Consider the following 24,897-nt stretch of genomic DNA (forward strand, 5'->3'; position numbering starts at 1 on the left):
AACAAAGCTGCCAACTATAAGGATCTGAAAAATGTGACCACTTCAGGCTTATTTTAGACTGAACCACTCCCCTTCCCTAATTATCCCTCAAAGGAAATACATCAGGCACTGTGGGCAAAGAGGGAAACATGTCTAATTACAACATGTGCACTTGGTGGACGAAGAATTTGAACATTCTTGAACTCTGGCCACATTTCAGAAGACTTTCCACTTGTAGTTTAATTTCCCTGAAGAGAAAAGTTTAAAGATCAGTTGCACTTCAACCAGGGTTCTATCAAAAAAAGACATAAAGAATACCCGACAAGCATAGGCAACCAAAGCAAAAATGGACAAATGGGATCACATCAAGTTAAAAAGCTTCCTCACAGCAAAGGAAACTATCAACAAAATGAAGAGATAACCCACTGAATGAGAGAAAATATTTACAAACCATCTATCTGACAGGGGATAACAAGAATATGTAAGAAGCTCAAACAACTCAATAGGAAAAAATCTAATAATCCACCTAAAAATGGAGACAAGATCTGAAAGACATTTCTCAAAAGAAGATATACAAATGGCAAAAAAAGGTACATGAAAACGTGCTTAACATCATTGATCACCAGAGAAATACAAATCAAAACTACAATGAGTGCTCGCTTCAGCATCACATATACTAAAATTGGAAGGACACAGAGAAGATTAGCATGGCCCCTGCGCAAGGATGACATGCAAATTCGTGAAGCGTTTCATATTTTTAACAAACCCTTAAATGTTAAAAAAAAAAAGTATGAGATATCATCTCATCCCAGTTAAAATGGCTTATATCCAAAAAAGATAAGCAATAACAAATGCTAGTAAGGATGTGGAGAGAAGGGAACCTTCATACGCTGTTGGTGGGAACGTAAATCAATACAACCACTGTGGAGAACAGTACGGAGGTTCCTCAAAAACTAAAAATAGAGCCACCATATGATCCGGCAAGCCCACTGCTAGGTATACACCCAAAAGAAAGGAAATCAGGGCCAGGCACGGTGGCTTACGCCTACAATCCCAGCACTTTGGGAGGCTGAGGCAGGAGGATTGCTTGAGCCCAGGAGTTTGAGAGCAGCCTGGGCAAAGACAGCAAGACATCACCTCTACTAAAAATTTTAAAATTAGCCAGGTGCTCTGGCATGCACCTGTAGTCCCAGCTACTTGGGAAAATGGCTTGAGTACAGGAGGTGGAGGCTACAGTGAGCTGTGATCACGCCACTGTACTTCAACCTAAGCGACAAAGCAAGATCCTGTCTCTAAAAAAGGAAGAAAGGAAATCAGTACATGGAAGAGAAATCTGCACTCCCATGTTTATTACAACACTATTCACCACAGCCAAGATTTGGAAGCAACCAAAGTGTCCATCATCAACAAATGAATAGATAAAGAAAATGTGGTACATACACACGAGTACTATTCAGCCATAAAAAAGAATAAGATCCTGTCATTTGTAACAATGAACAGAACTGGAGGTCATTATGTTAAGTGAACTACGCCAGGCGCAGAAAGACAAACTTTGCACGTCCTCACTTATTTGTGGGAGCTAAAAATTAAAACATTTGAACTCATGGAGACAGAATGATGGTTACCAAAAGCTGGGAAGGGTAGCAGGGGAAAGGGAAGTGGGGATGTTTAATGGGTACAAAAACACAGTTAGAATAAGATCTAGTAAGTGATAGCACAACAGGGTGACTACAGTCAACAATAATTGTATATTTTATAATAACTTAAAGAGTATAATTGGATAGTGTGTAACACAAAGGAAGGATAAATGCTTGCAGTGATGGATACCCCATTCATGCATTGTATGCCTGTATCCAAAGATTTCTTTCTTTTTTTTTTTTTTGAGATGGAGTCTCGCTCTGTCGCCCAAGCTGTAGTGCAGTGGCGCGATCTCGGCTCACTGCAACCTCTGCCTCCTGGGTTCAAGCGATTCTCCTGCCTCAGCCTCCCAAGTAGCTGGGATTACAGGTGCGCACCACCATGCCTGGCTAATTTTAGGGTTTCACCATGTTGGCCAGGCTGGTCTCCAACTTCTGACCTCAGGTGATCCACCCACCTCAGCCGGCCCAAAGTGCTGGGATTACAGGTGTCAGCCACCATGCCCAGCCCAAATATTTCATGTATCCCATTAAATATATACACCTACTATACCCACAAAAATTTTTTAAATGTTTAAATGTTTTAAAAAGACACAAAGAGAAATTGACCACATTGCTTAAATGTGATACCACAAGGGAAGCCCGCTGAAACTTTAAGATGACCCTGACTCCACATCAAGTGCTAACAGAGGAAATGGTTTGTATTTTACAACTAGGACTAAAAATAAGACCCATTTTAAGAGCACTTTCCCCTGGAGAAAACACACATATCTTGAATTTAAAGATACATATGCAAATGCCTCAGGCCCCAGGTGGTCTTTACGGAAGCAGTCCCTGATCAGATCTCTCATCCACAGCCCACGTGCTTCTGCATTACAGAGGTGGGAAGACATCTGCAACAAATTTGGCGGTGCTTCTGCACTTCTGCTGGAGAGAAGGGCAGAAAAAAACCTTTACAGATGCAAAACAAGAAGGCTTCTCATTAGGCATTTGGATTAAGAACTATTGCTCAAGAAGCCCTGAGCAAGGCCTACAAGTTCTGATCTCTCTAACCTCCTCTCCTATGACTGTCCCCCTTGTCCATGGGCCTCTGCCATGCTGGCTTCCTTGACGCTCCGCCAACCCTTCAGACACACTCCCACCTCACGACCTTCCCGGGGGCTGTTCCCTCTACCTGGACGACTCTTCTCTCAGACCTCTCGTATCTTCAAGTCTCGGCTCAAATGCCACCTTTGCGAGGAGGAAAAAGATTTCTTTTCTTTCCCATGATATTTATCACCTCCTACTACACCGTATAATTTACTTAATTATCTATAATTCACCCCGTTTCTCCTTTCCCCCTCAAATAAGCTCCAGGAATGCAGAGATCTCTGTCCTGTTCACTGATGTCTATCACAAGCACTTAGTGCCTGACACACAGTAGGAGCTCGAGAAGTATTTTCTGAATGAATGAACAAATTTCTTGACCTGAAGATTCAGAAGAGTAAGAAGTGGGTGGAAAGGATGATGGTGAGGGGATGAGGAGAAAGAAGCGACAGCGGAGAATTCCCAAGGGAGAGACAAGCAGAGACTGGCTGAGGCCAGGCCGACCCCCTTTTCTCCCCGCAGCGCTGACGGGAGGCGGACGTAGGTGCAGGGCATCCCGCCAGCCGCACCCGAGGCACTCAGACGCAGGCAGCGGAGGCCGGCGGGCTTCTGGGCTCACTGAGAAAGTCCAGAGGCAGGACGGACCCACGCGGGCTCCGAGCAGGCCCCGTTGGGGGCTCCGACCCACGGCCCTACCCCTCCCAGCAGTGCCCACAACCCCAGGTCCTCTCCAGAATCCCCAGGGGCGTTCCGGGCCGCAATCCCTTCTCGGCTCGGGCCCCTCCACCAGCCTCCAGCGCTCGGGCCCTGCGCTCAGGCACCTGCCTGCCTGCGCCGGGGTCCCCATTCCGGCCCGCGCGGAGGCCCCAGCGCGCTCCTGCGGCCTCAGCCCGCCTGGCTGCCCCGTCGCCCGGCACAAGGGCAGGAAGCGCTCCGCGGCGCTCCCCGCTGCAAGGAAGGGGCTCCCGGCGCCCCTCGCCCCGGCCGCCCCTGCCCGACGCCCCGCCTGCGCGGCGCCCCCTCACCTCAGGGCGTACGTACGACACGAAGGAGGGCTTGGGGGCCTTGGTGCCGCCGCCACCGCCGACTACTCCTTTCCCCAGCATACCGCCGCCCTGGGAAGCAGCGACGCGCGGACGCAGAGGCGGCGGCTCGGGCTCCAGCTGGGGCAGCAGCGGCGGCCACCAGCACTAGCGGCTGGGGCTCCGCCCATCCCCAAGGCCGCGACCGCCGCGATGCCGCCCGCATCCGGCTCCGCCGCTGACACCGCTCGCCCCGCCCAGGCCCGTGGGCCCCGCCCATCCCGTGCGCGGGCCCAGAGAGCCGGGAGACCGCAACTGGAGGCCACGCCCCCCCATCACGTCAGGAGAGTTTGACCCGCCGAGATTCACCACCTTCCTGCGGCAGAGCCCGCCCTCATGCTTTCTCTGATTGGCCCGAGGCGCTGCCGGCCGAACCCCGCTCCCAACCCATTCTTGAGTGCACTTGGAGAGATGTTTCCTCCAACCAATCCAGAGAGCGTTCTCTCCGGACTTTCCAACGATTGGATGGCGAGGATAAAACCGTCGTCCAATGATCCTGCAGTCACCAAGTTGTCGTTAGCAGGGGTTCACGGCAGTCGTTTTCTTCCGTTTGCTTGTGTCTTTGGAATAAAACGTCCAAAAATGGGATGTATGGAATCTTGCTATAGGAGTTCCCAACTTACAGCGATGACGTTCAAGGTTTTTTATTTTATTATTATTTACTTTTGAGACGGAGTTTTGCTCTTGTCGCCCAGGCTGGAGTGCAATGGCGCGATCTCTGCTCATTGCAACCTCCGTCTCCCAGGTTCAAGCGATTCTCTTGCCTCAGCCTCCTGAGTAGCTGGGATTACAGGCGCCCGCCACTATATCCAGCTAATTTTGTGTGTGTGTGTGTGTGTGTGTGTGTGTGTCGTTCTGTCGCCCAGGCTTGAGTGCAATGGCGTAGTATAGGCTCACTGCAACCTCTGCCTCCCAGGTTCAAGCGATTCTCCTGCCTCAGCCTCCCGAGTAGCTGGGATTATAGGCGCCTGCCATCACACCCGGCTAATTTTTGTATTTTTAGTAGAGACGGGGTTTCACCATGTTGGCCAGGCTAGTCTCAAACCCCTAACCTCGTGATCCGCCCGCCTCAGCCTCCCAAAGTGTTGGGATTAGAGGCATGAGCCACCGCGCCATGCCGCTAATTTTTGTATTTTTAATGGAGACGGGGGTTTCACCATGTTGGCCAGGCTGGTCTCAAACTCCTGACTTCAGATGATCCACCCGCTTCGGCCTCCCGAAGTGCTGGGATTACAGGCGTGAGCCACCGCGCCCGACCTCAAGGTTTATTATTTTAAATGTAAACAAAAATGAGACAAACGATGACTCACGCCTCTAATCCCAGCACTTTGGGAGGCCGAGGCGGGTGGATCATCTGAAGTCAGGAGTTTGAGACCAGCCTGGCCAACATGGAGAAACCCTATCTCTACTAAAAATACAAAAATTAGCCTGGTGTGGTGGCGGGCGCCTGTAATCCCAGCTACTCGGGAGGCTGAGGCACGAGAATCGCTTGAACCAAGGTTGCAGTGAGCCAGGATCGCGCCACTGCACTCCAGCCTGGGTGGCAGAGCAAGACTGTGTCTCAAACAGAAAAAAAAAAGTGTCAAATCAAGTGTTAACAAGGCAGTGAGGAATAAGTTTGAGCGTTTGATAATAAAAGACTTTGTCAACTTCATTTTTCCAAACCTTTCCCTTCTTTGTGTTTCCAACAGGAAGAATATCAAGAGCCCTTAAGAGACTTCTATTTACTCTACGAAGTTATTGATAAAACCCTCATTTTTTAGTCAAGATTGCAAAGAAAATTCATTTCAGTTCTACATTTGGTGCCAAGCGTTGTTAGTTGCAGATAAATAAGATAGAATCCAGCTCTTAAGAAATTCAATCTAGTGGAAAAAAACATAAATATTTGCAGTTAATTTTTTAGGCGTCAGGCACTGTGCTAAGTACTCTCATTGGTGACCTTGATTTTTACCCTCTTAATCTCCATGTGCTCCCCCTTCCCAAATACACTCCAAGTAAATATAAAATCTTAGTGAAAACAAATGTGCTTGCTTTTGCAAACATAGTTTCAACGCAAGTCCTGCAGCTCCGTTTCCAGCTAGATTGCCACCTGTAAGCCAATATTTGGTATAGCTGTGCTGCAGCCGCCTCTGAGTTTCCTTATCCCAGTTTCCAGGTGACAAAACAGAGATGCAAGTAATTTGCCCAGGTCTCACAACTAGTCACTGAGAGAGCTGGGATTTCAACCCGGGTTTGTCTCATTCGAAATCCCAAGTTCTTAACATTATAATTATACAAATTAGAAAGGAGCACAATGAAAGTGTGGTCAATTCTATTTGGGGAGTCCAAGTTGAGGCCATCCTTACAAGGTTGAGAAGAATTCTGCACAAAAATAGAGTTATAACTAAGCATTAATCAGGCTGCAGTTCGGCCTGCTTCTTTGTATTAATAACTTCAGGTAACACTAGGTACTGACCATTTGCATCCCTGTTGTTTCAATAGGTAGGATTTCTGGCTCTGGAATCATAAGGGTTTTATTTAAGAATTGCTTAGGCAGATCCTACGTTCCAGCAGAACAGCCGACATCAACCAGTTTAAAGACCGCCCCCGCCCCAACACACACACACACACACACACACACACACCCACACACACACAGGAACCGAATCAGTGCGAGAATACAATTTCTTCATCTCTCTGTCTCATGACTTTACCCTGCACTTTTCAACCAATTGATGATCTCCACACTTTGGTCCACTTCAAAACCCTTAAATACCCTAGCCCCAGGCAGGGTGCAGTAGCTCACACCTGTAATCCCAGCACTTTTAAAGGCCAAAGTAGGAGGCTCACTTGAGTTCAGGAGTTCAAGACCAGCCCAGACAATATAGTGAGGCCCTGTCTCTATGAAACATTAAAAAATTAGTCAGGCATGGTGGTGCAAGCCTGTAGTACAAGGTACTCAGGAGGTTGAGGTGGAAAGATTGTTTGAGCCCAGGAGTTTGAGGTTACAGTGAACTGATAGGTCACTGCACTCCAGCCTAGGTGACAAAGCAAAATCCTGTCTCAAAAACCATCCCCCCGCAAAAAAACCCTAGCCCCAAACTCCTTGACTCCTCAGGGAGATGAATTTGAGGTTTCCTCCTGTCTCCTCATCCAGCAGCCCTACAATTAAACCTCTTTCACTGCTGTAACCTGGTGCCTTGGTGTATTGACTTGTCCAGTGCATTGGGCAACAAACCTATTATAGTTACAAAGTAAGGCTTCATAAAAAAAGATATTCTTCATGGGAGTGTTAAAGAATACTTTTCTTTGTCAAGACTAATATCATTATATTTTGCAGCAGTCTTCACTTTTCGAAGTAGAATGGCAGGGCAGATTTTTAGACACTGAGAAAATGTTTCCTTTCTTACTTTTCAAAGTATTTTGAATTTCCATGACCTTTCACCATAGTTGTTAGTAAATGTGACTATGTCCAAGGCTGGCTTCTTTGGACATGAAACTAGTGCAGTCACACAGAATCTCATACTTAAGAAGGCTTGGAGGCCGGGTGCAGTGGGATTACACCTGTAATCTCAGCACTTTGGGAGGTCAAAGCAGGCAGATCACTTGAGTCCAGGAGTTTGAAGCCAGACCGGGCAACATAGGGAGACTCAGTCTCTACAAAAAATACAAAGAATTAGCCTGGCATGGTGGTGTGCACCTGTAGTCCCAATCTCAGCTACTTGGATGGCTGAGGTGGGAGGATCACTTGAGCCCTGGAGGCAGCAGTGACCCATGATTATGCCACTCACTCCAGCCTGGGTGACAGAGCAAGACCCTGTCTCAAAAAAAAAAAAAAAAAAAAAAAAAAGAACGGGGGGCGAGGGACTTAGGGTTTAATCCTTTGTAGTTTCGGTTGCCCAGGCTGGAGTGCAGTGGCCTGATTTCAGCTCACTGCAACCTCTGCCACCTGGGTTCAAGAGATTCTCCTGCCTCAGCCTCCTGAGTAGCTGGGATTACAGGTGCCTGCCACTGTGCCTGGCTAATTTTTGTATTTTTAGTAGAGACGGGATTGCACCATCTCGGCCAGGCTGGTCTTGAACTTCTGACCTCGTGATCCACCCACCTCAGCCTCCCAAAGTGCTGGGATTTCAGGTGTGAGCCACTGCACCTGGCCGGCCTTGAGCTTCTTAGTAATTTTATCTTTGAGTTTGTGTTTTAAGTGAAGGTTAATGGTTGATGAGCAATGGGGCACACACAAGGGGTCTTGGCGCCTCAGCTCATGCACAGCCTCACTTCCCAGCCCTGCCTCTATCCTCCTGGGTGCCTGCTACCCCACTGCACTGTGGTTCTGCCTAGCCAACTCCACACTGCTGCCCACTTCTACCCAGGGCAGCAACCAGGTCTCATTGCCCAGAGGTGTGGGCGGGTGGAATTTCCTGTGCTGCCGTCACCATCCATCCTCCCGGTGGGTGCCTGGGCACTGTCTCACAGAGGATCAGGGTGAGGCACAGCTCCCTGACCCTCTCTGGTGTCTCCGGGTTAAGGCGGCAGCTGTCTCTGCCCTAGGTTGGCAGTGCCTCAGTGACTGGCAGGGGCTTCCGCCCACCCCCATCAAGGTACCAAATATGGCCTGGGTGGCAGAGGCAGCCATCCCTTAGGGCTCACCCATCCACTATGAGAAGGGGAGTTGACTTCCCCACCCCCTGGCCAGAGCCCCACATTCTCATTTTGTGCTTGACCCTGCAAATGATGCAGCCAGCCCAGCCTATTCCCTGTCTTATCTCTGTGTCTTTGGGCAAAGAACTTCCTCTCTCTGTGCCTCTATTTCCTCACCTCAAAATGAGGGTGACAACAACAATAATAACTACTTCACGGTGGTTAGGGGACTGTATTAGGTTCTCTAGAGGGACAGAACTAATGTGATATATATATATATATATATATATATATATATATATACGTGTATATATATAATACACGAGTATTAACTCGTGAGTTAATACTTAGTAATTATATATAAAGGGCGTTTATTAAGTATTAACTCACATGATCACAAGGTTCCACAATAGGCCGTCTTGCAGGCTGAGGAGCAAGGAGAGCCAGTCGGAGCTCCAAAACTGAAGAACTTGGAGTCTGATGTTCGAGGGCAGGAGGCATCCCGCAAGGGAGAAGGATGTACGCTGGGAGGTTAGGCCAGTCTCTCTTTTCACATTTTTCTGCCTGCTTATATGCTAGCTGCGCTGGCAGCTAACTAGATTTCGCCCATCCAGATTAAGGGTGGGTCTGCCTTTCCCAGCCCACTGACTCAAATGTTATCTCCTTTGGTAACACCCCCAAGACACACCCAGGATCAATACTTTGTATTCTTCAATCCAGTCAAGTTGACACTCAGTGTTAACCATCACAGGGACTGTTCGGAAGATTAAACAAGTTGATTCAGGTGATGTCTGGTACACAGCAAGAACTAAATAGGTGATAGCTATCCTCTGTATGATCTCACCAAGTAGAACGTAACTTACTCAGTTTCAGGGATTATAGAAGGAAAAGCAAAGTGACTCCTCCCTGCTAATTAACTATGGGACTTGGTTAAAGAAAGAAGTTTGATTGTTTGTTTGTCTTTAACTTCTGGCCCAAACCTTGGACTAGATTTCTAATTTCACAGTTTTGTTCGTTTGTTTGGTTTTTTTTCTTGAGACGGAGTCTCACTCTGTCGCCCAGGCTGGAGTGCAGTGGCACAATCTCTGCTCACTGCAAGCTCCGCCTCCCAGCTTCACGCCATTCTCCTGCCTCAGCCTCCCGAGTAGCTGGGACTACAGGTGCCCACCACCACGACCGGCTAATTTTTGGTATTTTTAGTAGAGACAGGGTTTCACCGTGTTAGCCAGGATGATCTCAACCTCCTGACCTCATGATCCACCTGCCTCGGCCTCCCAAAGTGCTGGAATTACAGGCATGAGCCACTATACCCAGCCTGTTTTTGTTTTTGAGACAAGGTCTTACTCTATTGCCCCAGCTAGAGTGCAGTGGTACGATCATGGCTCACTGCAGCATCAGCCTCCTGGGCTCAGGTAAAGATCCTCCCGTCTCAGTCTCTCAAGTAGCTGGGACTACAGGCACATGCCACCACGCCCAGCTAATTTTTTTTTTTGTTTTGTTTTTTTATAGAGATGAGGTCTCACTATGTTGCCCAGGCTGGTCTCAAACTCCTGGACTCAAGTGATCCTCTTGCCTCTGTCTTGCAAAGTGCTGGGATTACAGGTGTAAGCCACCATGCCCAGCCCTAGATTTCAAATTTCTAGTTCACGACACCAAATTTCCCATCTTTCAAATCATCCTGTGTTATATAATTACTTTATCCTGACTTTCAACATCCATTTGTGGTCAGGTTAGTTTGCAATGTGATGATTCTGATAACTTGACGCTATTATGAGATCCTCGGGCGTGTTGCTTTTCTGGCCAGAAGCCTCTGTGGCTGGTAGCACCTTTGCCTGAGTTTGGTTCGGGTCCCCTGGGCCCACTCATCCTGGCAGGCTGTTCAAGGCCTGCATTACCAGCCTCGATCCCCCGCCTTCAAAAAGACTGGAGAGGAGTGGCTAGGGGTGTGTGAGTGAGCGAGCACGGGATCCAGCCACTGTGCACAGTCAGGCATGCTGGCTGCTGCAGTGGGGCAGGTGGCTCCAGGTGCCAGCTCACTGTGAGGCTGCAGCTGAACCAGGTGCACTGCAAGCAGCTTCCATAGCTAGCACCAGGGAATGCGGCGGTGCCTGGAAGCTTGGAGGCTCCGGGAACCACTGGCCCCAAAGCAGGAGTCACAGCCCTGGCTTGGGTATCTCCCAGGTCTAGGCTCCCTGCAGGGCCACAGCTCTTCTCTCCTTCTCTCTTCTCTCCTCCTTGTGGCCCACAATATGGTAAGGGGCATGGTTCAGCCCTGTTTGTGTTACAGCTATTTTAGCGCCACCATTTGGCAGGTCCCAGGTTCTTGTCCTGCATCCGGGAAGAATGAGGTACGCAGACAAGTGGAGGGTGAGCAAGACGAAGAGAAGCTTTATTGAGCAATAAAATAGCTCAGAGGAGATCCACAGTGGGCAGCTCCTCTCCATAGTCAGGGTGTCCCGATGAGTGTTTAGCTCTCAGCAGACAGGGCAGCTCTTCTCTGCTGTGCAGGTCGTCCTGATGAGTGTCCAGCTGTCAGCAGAGAGAATAGCTTCTCTCTGCAGCTGGTCACCCCGTCATTTTCCATCATTTCTCCATCCTCTGCTGGAGTCTGGCTGAGTCCGGGGATTTTTATGGGCCTCAAAGGAGAGGAAGTGCATGCTGACTGGTCCATGGTAGGCCATGGGCAGGCCCAGGAAAAAGTACCACAAGTTCCCCCTGTGGTCCAGGGGCCTGGTGGCCTGGCCCCCAGACTTCAGGCCCTCCCTGGTTTGAAGGTGGGACTTCACCAGGGTCCACCCCCTTCTGCCCAGGAGCCTGCCTGCCTCCTGCTGCTGTTCATGGCGCCCAGGCTATTCATGCCAAGGGGCACCTGCAGGCCAGTGCTGGGCCTGTTCTCAGCACTTCCTTGGCCTCTTTCCCATGCTTGTCAGTACCCAAAGTCTGGAGGGGGCCGAGGTGGCAGAGGGCTGGTGTGTCAGTGCTGCTTCAAGAGTGTGCACACCCAACGGGGCTGTGACAGCACCCATGGTCAGCCTCAACTCCACCCCATGATCAGAGGGTGTGCCAACAACAGGAAGAGGCCAGGAAGCAGGAGCAGACACCTGCACGGGAAAAGGGGGCCTTCTTGGGCCCGCCAAAAGTGCAGAGATGCCTGGGTCCGCAGCCGCAACCTGGGTGGCTGCAGCCACTCCTGGGAGGGTGGGGCTCCTGCCTGCTTCTGGCTCCTGCTAGCTCCCTATAGTGCAGCACCACCCCGGGCCCAGCTCTGCCTTAGGGCCCCTCTCTGCCCGCCCCTCTGTACCCGACCATGCTGCTCCCCAGCCAGTGGGCAGCAGGCTGTGGCACGGGTGGGTGCTCCTAGGGGTGGGCTCTGGGAACCATCTGCCTCCTTCCCACACCCTCGCCACAGTGGTGGCAGGTGAGAGTGGCAACACGGGGCCAGGAGCCAGAGCAGTGGAGGCTCCGAGCCTGGGAGTGGGTTCTGCCTGGCTGTTTGAGGGTGGGGGAGTGCAGTCGGCTGCCTCAGGGACACAGGGGTCCTGCCACTCTCACAGCCACTCCTGCCGCCACTGCCTGTAATGCCCCCAGTCCCAGCCGGTGTGATGGCAGTGGCTGCTCCAGATGGCCCGCTGCTGCCATCAACACTACTACTAGATCCATATACTTCCAGAAAACTATAGCTAACAAGTGAGGAAAGTTTTTAAAGACTGAAAGGCCAGCTGCTTTGCTATGGTCTGAATGTGTCCTTCCCAAAATTGATTTGTTGGAATTTAATTGCCAATATGATAGCATTAAGAGGTGGGCCTGGCCCAGCACAGTGGCTCACACCTGTAATCCCAGCACTTTGGGAGGCCGAGGCAGGCGGATCACCTGAGGTCAGGAGTTTGAGACCAGCCTGGCCAACCCAAAAATACAAAAATTAGCTGGGCGTGGTGGCAGGCGCCTGTAATCCCAGCTACTAGGGAGGCTGAGGCAGGAGAATCGCTTGAACCCGGGAGGCAGAGGTTGCAGTGAGCTGAGATAGCGCCACTGCACTCCAGCCTGGGCGACAAGAGTGAAACTCTGTCTCAATAAAAAAAAAAAAAAAAAAAAGAGCTGGGCCTTTAGGAGGTGATTAAATCATGATGGCAGAGCCCTCAGGGATGGGATTCATGCCATTATAGAAGAGGACCCAGAGGGTTGCCTTGCCTTCAGTCATGTGAGGACACAGCAAGAAGGCACCAGCTTGAAGTGTTACCAAAATGCCAGGGGTTTGGTCTAGGTTCTGTTGCTTGGAGCACAGAAAGTCAATCACTAAGACGTGAGTATTGCCAGGGAAGAAGGCTTTTTCAGGTGCTGCAGCCGAGGAGATGGGAGATCAGTCTCAAATCCATGTCCCTGACCAACTAAAATTAGGGGCTTATATAGTGGGGAAAAAAATGTGACCACGTGTGGGAAAACAGGAATTAGGGAGGGGTAAGAAAGAGAAGTTGGTTAAGAGGAAGCAAGTGGTCAGTTAGGCAATCATGACAGGTGAGGAGTTTGGCATCTCATTGTCCAGAGGTGGTGATCTGGTAAGTTTCAGTTCCTTGTTACTCTCTGGGAGGACTGATGGTTGGTTTCCTGAGAAAGGAACTCAGATAAGACAAATATAACTTTCTCAAGTTTTAAGACTGGGAGGATGTGGCCATGCTGTGGCTCAGGCCTGTAATCCCAGCACTTGGGGAGGCTGAGGCAGGCAGATCCCTTGAGCCCAGGAGTTTGAGACCAGCCCGAACAACGTGGCACAACCCCTTCTCTAGAAAAATACAAAAAATAGCCAGGCATGGTGGCACACACCTGTAGTCCTGGCTACTCCGGAGGCTGAGGTGGGAGGATCACTTGAGCCTGAGAGATCAAGGCTGCAATGAGCCATGATCGTGCCACTGCACTTCAGCACTTCAGCCTTCAGCCTAGGCAACAGAGAGATACCGTGTCTCAAAAAAAAAAAAAAAAAAAAAAAAAAACAGACTGAGAAGATCAATTTCTATGTTTATTCAAAGAAACCATAAACATCAGTTTTATAGGACATTTGGGCCAGTTTCAGAAGCAGAGCAGCCCTTACCAGACACCAAATCTGCTGGCGCCTTGATCTTGGAGTTTCAGCTTCCAGAACAATGGGAAATAAATTTCTTTTCTTTTTTTTTTTGAGACGGCGTCTCTCTCTCTCTCGCCAGGCTGGAGTGCAGTGGCACCATCTCAGCTCACTGCAACCTCCACCTCCAGGGTTCAAGCGATTCTCCTGTCTCAGCCTTCGGAGTAGCTGGGATTACAGGCACGTGCCACCACGCCCGGCTAATTTTTGTATTTTTAGTAGAGACGGGGTTTCACCATGTTGGCCAGGATGGTCTCAAACTCCTGACCTCAAGTGATCCACCCGCCTCAGCCTCCCAAAGTGTTGGGATTACAGGCGTGAGCCACTGCGCCCGGCCAATAAATTTCTAATATATCTAATATTTATAAATTCCCAGTCGAAGGCATTTTGGTAGAGCAGTAGGAATGAACTAAGGCATGCTGGTGAGGGCTCCACTCCAGGCCTGTGCCCATGGACGTAGGTAAGGAGAGGCATTTCTGTTTTTGTGCCCAAATGTTGCATTTCCCAAGACCACCCTGGCCACCACGCCCCCATCCTGTGCCTATAAAAACCCCAAGACCCTAGTGAGCATGCACATAAGTGGATGAACATCGGCCGGGCGTGGCGGCCTGTGCCTGTAATCCCAGCACTTTCGGAGGCCCAGGCGGGCAGATCACAAGGTCAGGAGATCCGACCAGTCTGGCCAATGTGGTGAAACCCCGACTTTACTAAAAATACAAAAAAAAATTTAGCCGGGCATGGTGGCCGGCGCCTGTAGTCCCAGCTGTTCGGGATGCTGAGGCAGGAGAATAGCTTGAACCCGGGAGGCGGAGGTTGCAGTGAGCCGAGATCACGCCACTGCACTCCAGCCTGGACCACTGAGCGAGACTCTTGTCTCAAAAAAAGAAAGAAAAAAAAAAGGCGCTGGATATGAGAGGAACACACCAGCGGAAGACATAGGCGGCTGGACGCTGAGAGGAACGCATTGGCGTAAGAGCACGCCGACAGACACCGGCAAGCCAGCAAGCCATCAACCAGCAGAATGAGGCGGAGTTTGGCAGAGGCGGTCAGAGGAGAGGCCAGGCCACTGAGTGGCTGACTCCAGGGAAAACCACCTTTCCACTCCATCCCCTTCTGGGTCCCCCATCTTCTGAGAGCTATTTCCACTCAATAAAACCTTGCGCTCATTCTCCAAGCCTACGTGTGATCTGATTCTTCTGGTACACCAAGGCAAGAAACCCCAGGATACAGAAAGCCCTCTGTCTTCGCGGTAAGGCAGAGGGTCTAATTGAGCTGACTACACAAGCCACTTATGGATGGCTAAACTAAAGGAGCTCCCTGTAACACATGCCCACTAGGGCTTCAGGAGCTGTAAGCATTCAGCCCTAGGCACTGTCGTGGGGTCGGAGCCCCACAGCCTGCCCATCTGCATGCTCCCCCTAGGGGTTTGAGCAGTGGGGCACCAAAGAGACAGCCACACCCCCATCGCACGCCCTTCGAGGGAGACAAGGGAACTTTCCCATTTCACTTCCAGAATCAGTTTTGATGCAGTGATGAAAACCCACGCTTTTTTTTTCTTTTTTCTTTTTCTTTTTCTCCTTCTTTTTTTTTTATTTGAGAGGGAGTCTTGCTCTGTCGCCCAGGCTGGAGTGTGGCAGCGCGATCTCAATCTCCGCTAACTACTACCGCTGCTTCCCGGGTTTAAGCCATTCCCCTGCCTCAGCCTCCTGAGTAGCCGAGATTACAGGCATGCGCCACCACGCCCCCCTAATTTTTGTATTTTTAGTAGAGACGAGGTTTCACTACATTGTCCAGGCTGGTCTTGAACTCCTGACTTCAAGTGTTCCACCTGCTTCAGCCTTCCAAGGTGCTGGGATTACAGGCATGAGCCACCGCGCCTGGCTCCCACACTTTCTTTACAGAGCAGAAAGGGGGCCAGGCGCGGTGGCTCACGCCTGTAATCCCAGCACTTTGGGAGGCCGACGCAGGCGGATCACGACATCAGGAGATCGAGACCATCCTGGCTAACACGATGAAACCCTGTCTCTACTAAAAATACCAAAAATTAGCCGGGCTTGGTGGCGGGCGCCTGTAGTCCCAGCTACTCGGGAGGCTGAGGCAGGAGAATGGCGTGAACCCGGGAAGCGGAGCTTGCAGTGAGCCGAGATCGTGCCACTGCCCTCCAGCCTGGGCGACAGAGTAAGACTCCGTCTCACAAAAAAAAAGAAAGAAAGAAAAACAGAAATGGAATGAGTACAGAGGACAAACTGAGATCTGCTTCCATCTTGCTTTTTATTTATTTATTTATATTTTTTTCCATCTTGCTTTTAAGGTTCTCCAGCTATCAGCATATTTTTACTTGGTCTTTAGGGTGTGGGGTCAAATCTCCTTGGGAGAGTCTCCCAACTGATTGACAAATTCCTGTATGCTGAGGTCAAATAATTTTCCATCTATTCATAAACACGGATGGAAGCCCCTGGACTTTGAAATATTTTACTTTACAGAAAATACTTCATGAACATTTCTTTCTCTTAATGCTTCCCTAAGCTTTCTTGGAGAATTATAAATAGGAACAAATCTTAGCTCACGTAGAAATGTATGCCAGACCAAAGGCAGCTCCATTTCTTCCCACAGACAACTGAAACTGACAGGCAGCAGCACACTCCCAGCTGTGGCGAGGAGCATTTTACTGTGGCAGATGGTTGAAGCATAGCCAGTTGCATTTCCTCCTCTTGGGAGTCACTTGAAGCAGCCTATTTGTGTGTCTTACTCATATGTATCTAACAGGTGCTTAGCACATAGCAGGAATTTAATAAATATTTTCACCTGAGTGAGTGAAATGGCATTCATTAGATGAAACGCAGAGAGGCCAGTGACTGACTCAGCACAGAAGCAAGAATTAAAACTCTAGGTAGGTGTGATGGCTCACACCTGTAATCCCAGCACTTTGGGAGACTGAGGCGGATGGATCACCTGAGGTCAGGAGTTCAAGACCAGCCTGACCAATATGGAGAAACCCTGTCTCTACTAAAAATACAAAAATTAGCCAGGCGTGGTAGCTCATGCCTGTAATCCCAGCTAGTCGGGAGGCTGAGACAGGAGAATCACTTGAATTTGGGAGGTGGAGGTTGTGGTGAGCCGAGATTGTGCCATTGCACTCCAGCCTGGGCAACAAGAGCGAAACTCCATCTCAAAAAAAAAAAAAAAAAAAAAAAAACCAGAAACCAAAACTCTAGCACCCTGGTTAGACCTGCAGTTTTCTTTTCTTTTAATTTTTATAGAGAGAGGGTTTCAGCATGTTGGCCAGGCTAGTCTCAAACTCCTAGGCTCAAGCAATCTGTTGGCCTTGGCTTCCCAAAGTGTTGAGATCACAGGCGTGAGCCACTGCACCGGGCCTCCTGCCTGCACTTTTAAGTGGATACAAACTAGGACCTGTTTTTATGTATATATAATTTGTATATATATTCAAGGACTAAAATGCCTCTTGCCAAAATTCACCTTTAGCAAATGGTCTGGTGTCTGCAGACTTCTCTCTTCTTTCACTGGAACTAGAAAATTTCTTAGCCTCTTACTGCAACAAAGGGTCTTTCAGCCCTCCTGTGAAGATGGTGAGGAGCAGACCTGGATGAAAAAGCATTTGGATTGTTCTTAATCTTGTGGTGTCATAATATGAGGGCCTGCTGGGAAGACTTTGTGGTGATTTATTGATTTTTGTTTGTTTGCTTTCATTTTTTTGCTGTTTCAAAAAATACACAACCTAAGCTGGTCGCATGGTGGGAGACTTGAGGAGCCTACTCTTTGTGATCTGTATTCTGCCTTCTTCAAAGCACAAGTTAATGACCTGGTTGGTTTATTCATCAAGTAGGGGTTACCAGTGGTCACTGTGACTCACCTCTTAGCCTCTCCTAATAAGACTGGAAGTTCTCAAGAGCAGGGATGGTCTCCTTTATCACGAGCACCTAACCAACCACTGACACTACAATATTAAGTGAGTCCTCAGTGAGGACTGCAGAAATGAGGACTCTCATCCATTAGGGTGTGAGTGTCAACTGATGGGACAAGAGGAAAGGTAATTTTGCAATGTACATCAAAAATTGTCTCACGGCCTGGTGCAGTGGCTCATGCCTGTAATACCAGCAATTCAGGAGGCCAAGGTTGAGGGGAACACTTGAGGTCAGGAGTTTGAGACCAGCCTGGACAACATAAAAATTAGCCAGGTATGATGGTGTGTGCCTGTAATCCCAGGTACTTGGAAGGCTGAGGCAGGAGAATTGCTTGAACCCAGGAGGCTGAGGTTGTAGTGAGCTGAGATTGGGCCACTGCACTCCAGCCTGGGTGACAGAGCAAGACTCTGTCTCCAAAATAAATAAATAAATAAACCATCTCAGGGCTTTGACTTCTAAAAGTTTAGCCTACAGATATACATGTGTAAAGGTTGTAAAGTTTCATGGTTGGAGGCAGATATTCTGGACTCAGACTGCCTAGGTTCAAGTCCTGCCTCCACCAGTTACTAAATATGTGACCCTTAATGATGCATTTATCTTCTTGGACCTCAATTTTCTCACCTATAAAAGTGGTTGTGAGGATGATAATGGGAACTACCTCACAGGATTGAATGAGTTAATAAATATAACGTGTTTAGAGTGTTGACATATATTATATGAAAGCCAAGATACAGTGAGTGATTAAAGCAAGGGGCAGAGCAGTATGCATCTGTAAAAACGGGTGGATTATAGACTACATGTATCTCTTTTTTTCTTTTTCTTTTTCTTTTTTTTTTTTGAGACAGAGTCTAACTCTGTTGCCCAGGCTGGAGTGCAATGGCACGATCTTGGCTCACTGCAAACTCCACCTCCCGGGTTCAAATGATTCTCCTGTTTCAGCTTCTGAGTAGCTGGAATTACAGGCACATGCCGCCATGCCCAGCTAATTTTTGTATTTTTCAGTAGAGACAGGGTTTCACCATGTTGGCCAGGCTGGTCTTGAACTCCCAACCTCAGGTGATCCTCCCCCCTCGGCCTCCCACAGTGGTACCTATCTCTTTATATTTGCATAGAACGTCTTTGGATATATACAAAGGGAACTATAACATTCATTGCTTTTAGAAAGGGAAATTGGGGCCAGGCGTGGTGGCTTACACCTGTAATCCCAGCACTTTGGGAGACCGAGGTGGGCAGATCACGAGGTCAGGAGATTGAGACCACCCCAGCTAACACAGTGAAACCCCGTCTCACTACAAATACAAAAAATTAGCCAGGCGTGGTGGCGGGCGCCTGTAGTCCCAGCTACTCGGGAGGCTGAGGCAGGAGAATGGTATGAACCCAGGAGGCAGAGCTTGCAATGAGCCGAGATCGCGCCACTGCACTCCAGCCTGGGTGACAGAGTGAGACTCCATCTCAAAAAAAAAAAAAAAAAAGAAAAGAAAGGGAAACTGGGCCAGCCACGGCGGCTCATGCCTGTAGTCCCAACACTTTGGGAGGCTGAGGTGGGTGGATCGCTTGAGCTCAGAAGTTCAAGACTAGTCTGGGCAACATTGTGAAACCCTATCTCTACAAAAAATACAAAAATTAGCCTGGCGTGGTGGCACATGCCTGTAGTCCTAGCTACTTGGGAGGCTGGGGCAGGAGGATTGCTTGAGCCCAGGAGGTGGAGGTTGCAATGAACTTAGATCACACTACTGCACTCCAGCCTGGGTGACGGAGTAGGCCTCTCTCTCAAAACAAACAAACAAACAAACAAACAAACAAACAAACAAACAAAAGGAAACTGGGTGTTTGGAGAAATTATTGGAAAAAAAATGCCCTTTTTAAACTTTTGGATTTTGAGCCATGAGAATTATTTCCTAGCCCCAACAGTAAATAAATTAATTTTTTTTGCTGTCTCAGTGTAGCTTTTTTTAACTGAGGTGAAAGTTGTATAAGATAATATTAGCCATTTTATAGTAGGAATTAAAATAATCTAAATTTTAACATTAAAACATGAGCCTTTACCAAGAACTTTACCATTTTCTGTTTCTGCCTGTCTTGGCGTGGGTCGCCAAGTCATCCCATCCAAATGTCTACTCTCAGTGCTACCAGCTCTTTTAATATCTTCCTTAGAGACTGTTGGAAGTGGTCTAGAGTTAGACTCTTTCTGAATTCTTTTTTTTTTTTGGAGACAGAGCCTTGCTCTGTTGCCCAGGTTAGAGTGCAGTGGCGTGTTCTCGGCTCACTGCAACCTCCGCCTCCCAGGTTTAAGCGATCCTCCCACCTCAGCCTCCCAGGTAGCTGGGATTACAGATGTGTACCACCATACCTGGCTAATTTTTGTATTTTTAGTAGACACAGGGTTTCGCCATGTTGGCCAGGCTGGTCTCGAACTCCTGGCCTCAAGCTATCCACCCGCCACAGCCTCCCAAAGTGCTGGGATTACAGGCATGAGCCACCACGCCCTGCCCTCTTTCTGAATTCTTTTTTTTTTTTTTTTTTTTTTTTTTGAGATGGAGTCTTGTTCTGTCACCCAGGCTGGAGTGCAGTGGCGTGATCTCGGCTCACTGCAACCTCTGCCTCCCTGGTTCAAGCGATTCTCCTGCCTCAGCCTCCCGAGTAGCTGGGATTACAGGCACTCGCCATCATGCCTGACTAATTTTTGTATTTTTGTAGAGATGGGGTTTTACCATTTTGGCTAGGCTGATCTTGAACTCCTGACCTCAGGTGATCCGCCTGGCTCGGCCTCCCAAAGTGCTGGGATTACAGGCCTGAGCCACCATGCCCGGCCTCTTTCTGAATTCTTAAGCATCTAGAATCTGTTTGCTATCTTAGTCTGTCCACGTGAATATGTCTCGGATTGACTGGTATAGGTCCGTGTCTTTTCTTCTTGAGAGCTACTGCGAGCTCCTCACGGTCAAAGTCCCCTCCTGCGCTCCCCAATATGCCCTGTTCCCAAAGTGCCGTCCTCAGTGCTTTGAGTAGATCAGCAGATGGACAGAAAAGCCTTCAGGACTTGACTGAACCATGGGAGCCGCGGGGACGAGGACACTGTGCCCTCTACAGGACGATTTCAAAAGTGGTGGCAAGAAAGGTATTCTCAGCACAGACTGGGAAATTCTCCCACGTAGCTGCACAGCATAAAGGAAAATGACAAAGGAGGCTGGGCCTGGTCCTTCCCTGCCCTCTGTCACCAGGCCTCCTCTGGGCACACTTACTGGGCCCACAACCACATCAGGCATGGAGTGGAAACTCGGCTTGAGCTGCAGGCCACCTGGGCGCTATAGAACTGTAACTCCCAGGGCTGGGAGAAAACTCATTTTGAAGGTGGGGTCACAGGGCCCAGAGAAGTAAAACAACTCGCCCAGGATCACAGTGCTGGTCAGTGCCACCCTGACACTTACTCCGACCATGTAACTTCTGAACCTTGATTCTAAGCCAAGTGGTCTGATGTAGGCAACTGAATGTGGTTATTTCTGAGCTTTTTCTTTGTCAATCCAGGCCTTATGAGCCAGTCACAGTTCATTTCCAGCTCCTCTCTCTGTTTTCCTCCCTCTCCCCTTTGGGCTGAATTGAAGGCTCTAGGAGTGCGCAGAGCCTCTATTTGGGATGGGATGGGTGGGGTTGCCCATCTCCCTGACTTGGGTCCCAGGGCTGGGCTTGTCCATTCCTTGGCAGGGAAGGTGCTTGGCTTGGAGGGTGCTAACTCAGGCCTGCCATCACTCCTTCCTGCTCCCGTGCAGCTCGCTGCTTCCTCAGAGATGCAGCTAAGTCCTTTCTCACCCTTTGGCTGGCTTATGCCATGTCCTTGAACCGGTGTGCTCATTTCCTCTGCTGGGCGGCCTCCCAGTTGCACCTTGGCTCTCTCTCCTAATTACTTGCTGTGTCTCACTTGAGGGCCGTGGAAAACTTGGGAGACATAGAGACAAGCTCTGCAGCACCTGGAAAGACCATGGCTCCATTTCAACCACTCCATACCATGCGTATGCATGTGTGTGTGTGTGTGCATGCAAGTATGTGTGTGCGTGCGTGTGTGGCAGGGTCGAGGGAGTTGGTCAGGAGGTCCATCAGCTACAAAACTCTCAGACAGAGGTGCAGGACTCAGGCCCCTTCTTCTCTCATATCCCCCAAATGACAGGCAAACTGTGGGGAGGTGATAAGTGGAATGACACTACCTCCTTCTCCCTGCGCTCTTTCCAGACCTGTCTCTCTCCTGGCTCAGAGCCCTCATGGTGCGTGTATGTGTATGTGTGCCTGGTCATGTTGGGAGGGAAGAGAGTTGGGATGTAGGAGAGGGAAGTAGCAGCTAGAAAAACCTGTTGTGCTCCCCATTTAAATTTCTCTTGACTCATTCCAGGATAATAGAGGTCAAGTTCAGGCATCTGACTTAGGGATGATCTCCATCCAGGAGGGAGGAATGAAGAAGCTTGTTGATGTCTCAAATTATTAAGATTGACACAATTAAATGCTTTACATGTCATTCAATCAAACAAAGGCTGCGCATCACAAATAAAAATAATGTGTTCTTCTGGATTTTATCTGAGATCAAAGCATGAAGTTTAGATCTGAGAATTTCTGGCTGGGCTGAGCTGATCAGGGAAGGGTGAGAACAACCAGGCTGTCTGTTCTTCAAGTTGAAGGAAGATGACACTGAGACAATCTTCTCTTCCTTCCAAATTTTGTTCAGGGCTGAATAGGGTTTGAAAACCTGGAAGAAGAATGAGAAGACGCCTCTTTTCCGCAGAGGAGGGCTGCTGGTGTTTGGAGCCTAATGATCTTAGAAAGAAGGAAGCTGTTGCTGACTTAGGGGTTGGGAGAACCTTCTCAAATAAAAACAGGCCAGGCGTGCCTCCCTGCTGGGATACTGGATCTTTGCTTAAAGTGCAGTTAGACCTGTTTTGGGCTTGGCTAACCGTTCCTACTCACTGAAGAGCTGAAGGGCTTATTGTTCAGGTGGCTGTAAAAGAACCCGGAGGTTGTGAAAGGCCCACTGTTTAATATTTGTAAAGGTCATCTGCCTCAAGGTTAAAATGTAATCAAACAATTTTTTTAAAAATCCTTTTTGTCCAAAGGTAAAAAAGAGAACATAAGGAATAGAAATTGTTAAGCTGCAAAGAAACATCTCTGTATTTTATAGACTAACTTTTCTGCTTGGGCGTTGTTCATGATCAGCCATTTCCCTGTCCCCCTACCTCCCTCCAGAACACTGGAGTCTATTCACCATTCATTCACCTGGCCTCTGGAACGGGTTCTGAGAGCAGCCAAGTACAGCACCAAACAAGGCAACCTCAGACACTGCAAATATCTTACACACGTTTAAGTTGTCTGAAAAGAAGTTTTATGGCTTAGCTGAACTGGGAGCCAGAAAGGGGGCGGGGAGCGGGAGGAGTCCATTTATTTTCTCACCTCATGTGAGACGACATCAACTGAAAAGAAAATGACAAGAGAAACTCAGTTTGGAACAACGTAGGGGCAGAGAAGTAATCCATTCATTTTTAGAAAGCTCTGTTCTCCTTTTTTACTGGTCTCTTCATGTCACCAAGACAACACCTTTCCCCATCCCAGAGGAAAGACTCTGTCACACTCGGTCAGAGAAGAAGCATCTCACAAAGGTCTGTGAGGCTGAACTCAGAAAAAAAGCAGGACATGCATATATGTGGGGAGGTGAGAGCAAGGACTTTGCTCTGGAGGTTACTGTTGGTTATAACACAGGGAGAAGTCAAAGACAAGACAAGAAGGACGGGTTGGAGCCACAGTTGATGGGGCTTTGAATACCATGCTAAAAAGTTTGCAATTTATCCTTAAGCATGTTGCAATTTATCCTTAGGATAAGTTTTACGCCTTTTAAATTTAAAGTTTATGTTATATTTTATTTTGAGACAATGTCTCACTATGTTGCCCAGGCTGGTCTTGAACTCCTGGCCTCAAGCCATCCTTCTGCCTCAACCTTCCGAATGGCTGGGACTTACAGGCATGCACTACTGTGCCCAGCTTACAGCTTTAAAAAAAAGAGAATTATTAAGTCATCATTATTTAAGAATTATTAATTAATTCACTATTAAGTAGGAAAAATAATTACAGAAATCCTAGAAACTAGATATTAGCAATTTTAATCAAATAGAAATCAAAATCCCAAAGAAAACAAGCCATAATCATACTACACAGGGTAAACACAAGAACATTTTGGGGAAGAGTGGTCTATATGTATATTCATGTCTATTCAAACAAAAAAGAATAATGATTTACACCTGTTTTTTTGTTTGGTTGTTTGTTTGTTTGTTTTGAGATGGAGTCTGGCTCTGTCATCCAGGCTGGAGTGCAGTGGTGCGAGCTTGGCTCACTGCAACCTCTGCCTCCCAGGTTCAAGCAATTCTCCTGCCTCAGCCTCCCGAGTAGCTGGGATTACAAGTGTGTGCCACCACGCCCGGCTAATTTTTTTATTTTTAATAGAGACGGGGTTTCGCCATGTTGGCCAGTCTGATCTTAAACTCCTGACCTCAAGCGATCCACCCACCTCGGCCTCCCAAAGTGTTGGGATTACAGGCGCGAGCCACCGCGCCCAGCCTACACCTGGTTTTATGACCTGATTTTTTTTCATCAAACATTATAAAGTAGATTTCTTCATGTGTTATTCGCCTACATAGTTATTTCGTCTTTTCCTGACCTAACATTCCTGAGGAGTTGACACATCTCATGAGTAACAGGGATTGAAAAAGGAATGATATTTAAAAATGAGGCACTCCCCTTTAATTAATTAATTAATTAATATATATACAGGGCCTCACTCTGTCATCCAGGCTGGAGTTTAGTGGTACAATCATGGCTCACTGCAGCCCCGACTTCTCGGGCTCAAGGGATCCTCACACCTCAGTCCCCCAGTAACCAGGACTATATGTTCATAAACCCATGCCCAGATAACTTTTAAAATTTTTGAAGAGATGACATCTCACTGTGCCCCCAGGCTGGTCTCAAACTCCTGGGCTCAAGCGATCCTCCTGCCTTAGTCTCCCAAAGTGCTGGGATTACAGGTGTGAGCCACCACACCCAGCCAGCACTCTCCTTTTGACTTACTGGTCTATATATTAATTTAGATGATTGGGCTGTATTTCATTAAAGTCCTTATGGGACAATTTCAATTGTTTTTAATGTTGCACACTTGCCAATAATGCTTCAGTATATATATATATATATATACACACACACATGAATTTATAATTCTGTACACTTTTAAAAGAAAAACTTCAGCAGAATTAAATTTAAAAGAGTTTAATTGAGCAAAAAACAATTTGCGAATTGGACAGCTCCCAGAATTACAGTGGATTCAGAGAGATTCCAGCACAGCCAAATGGTGGAAAAAGATTTATAGACAATAAAAGGGAAATGATGCACAGAAATGGACAGTGAAGTATAGAAACAGCTGGACTGGGCTGGGCACGGTG

General features: G+C 48.3%; 1 protein-coding gene and 1 pseudogene across 3 annotated transcripts in view, besides 4 other annotated features; one reads left to right on the forward strand and one right to left on the reverse strand.

Annotated features, from left to right (window-relative positions):
• MTMR12 (myotubularin related protein 12) overlaps window positions 1–3,909 on the reverse strand; it is an 85,933-nt gene extending 82,024 nt beyond the window's left edge. For all 3 annotated transcript variants that reach the window (NM_001294344.2, NM_001294343.2, NM_001040446.3), the window contains exon 1: window positions 3,728–3,909. In NM_001294344.2, coding sequence (NP_001281273.1) covers window positions 3,728–3,808 — 81 coding nt within the window. In that variant the 5' untranslated portion in view covers window positions 3,809–3,909. The remainder of the gene's footprint in view (window positions 1–3,727) is intronic.
• On the forward strand, window positions 632–737 carry RNU6-378P (RNA, U6 small nuclear 378, pseudogene; annotated as a pseudogene).
• Window positions 952–1,112: a silencer, noted in NCBI's record as "fragment chr5:32310088-32310248 (GRCh37/hg19 assembly coordinates)". NCBI's record gives its function as "represses an EF-1alpha promoter that drives an FKBP-Casp9 reporter gene in an ReSE screen in phorbol 12-myristate 13-acetate-treated (for megakaryocytic differentiation) K562 erythroleukemia cells {active_cell/tissue: K562(+PMA)}" and the evidence as "EXISTENCE:reporter gene assay evidence [ECO:0000049][PMID:32094911]".
• Window positions 3,238–3,377: a silencer, noted in NCBI's record as "silent region_15955". NCBI's record gives its function as "represses an Ori minimal core promoter by ATAC-STARR-seq in GM12878 lymphoblastoid cells {active_cell/tissue: GM12878}" and the evidence as "EXISTENCE:reporter gene assay evidence [ECO:0000049][PMID:35858748]".
• Window positions 3,448–4,237: a silencer, noted in NCBI's record as "silent region_15956". NCBI's record gives its function as "represses an Ori minimal core promoter by ATAC-STARR-seq in GM12878 lymphoblastoid cells {active_cell/tissue: GM12878}" and the evidence as "EXISTENCE:reporter gene assay evidence [ECO:0000049][PMID:35858748]".
• Window positions 4,328–4,377: an enhancer, noted in NCBI's record as "active region_22444". NCBI's record gives its function as "activates an Ori minimal core promoter by ATAC-STARR-seq in GM12878 lymphoblastoid cells {active_cell/tissue: GM12878}" and the evidence as "EXISTENCE:reporter gene assay evidence [ECO:0000049][PMID:35858748]".

The sequence above is a fragment of the Homo sapiens genome, chromosome 5 (genome assembly GCF_000001405.40).
Source record: "Homo sapiens chromosome 5, GRCh38.p14 Primary Assembly".
Classification (NCBI taxonomy): domain Eukaryota; kingdom Metazoa; phylum Chordata; class Mammalia; order Primates; family Hominidae; genus Homo; species Homo sapiens.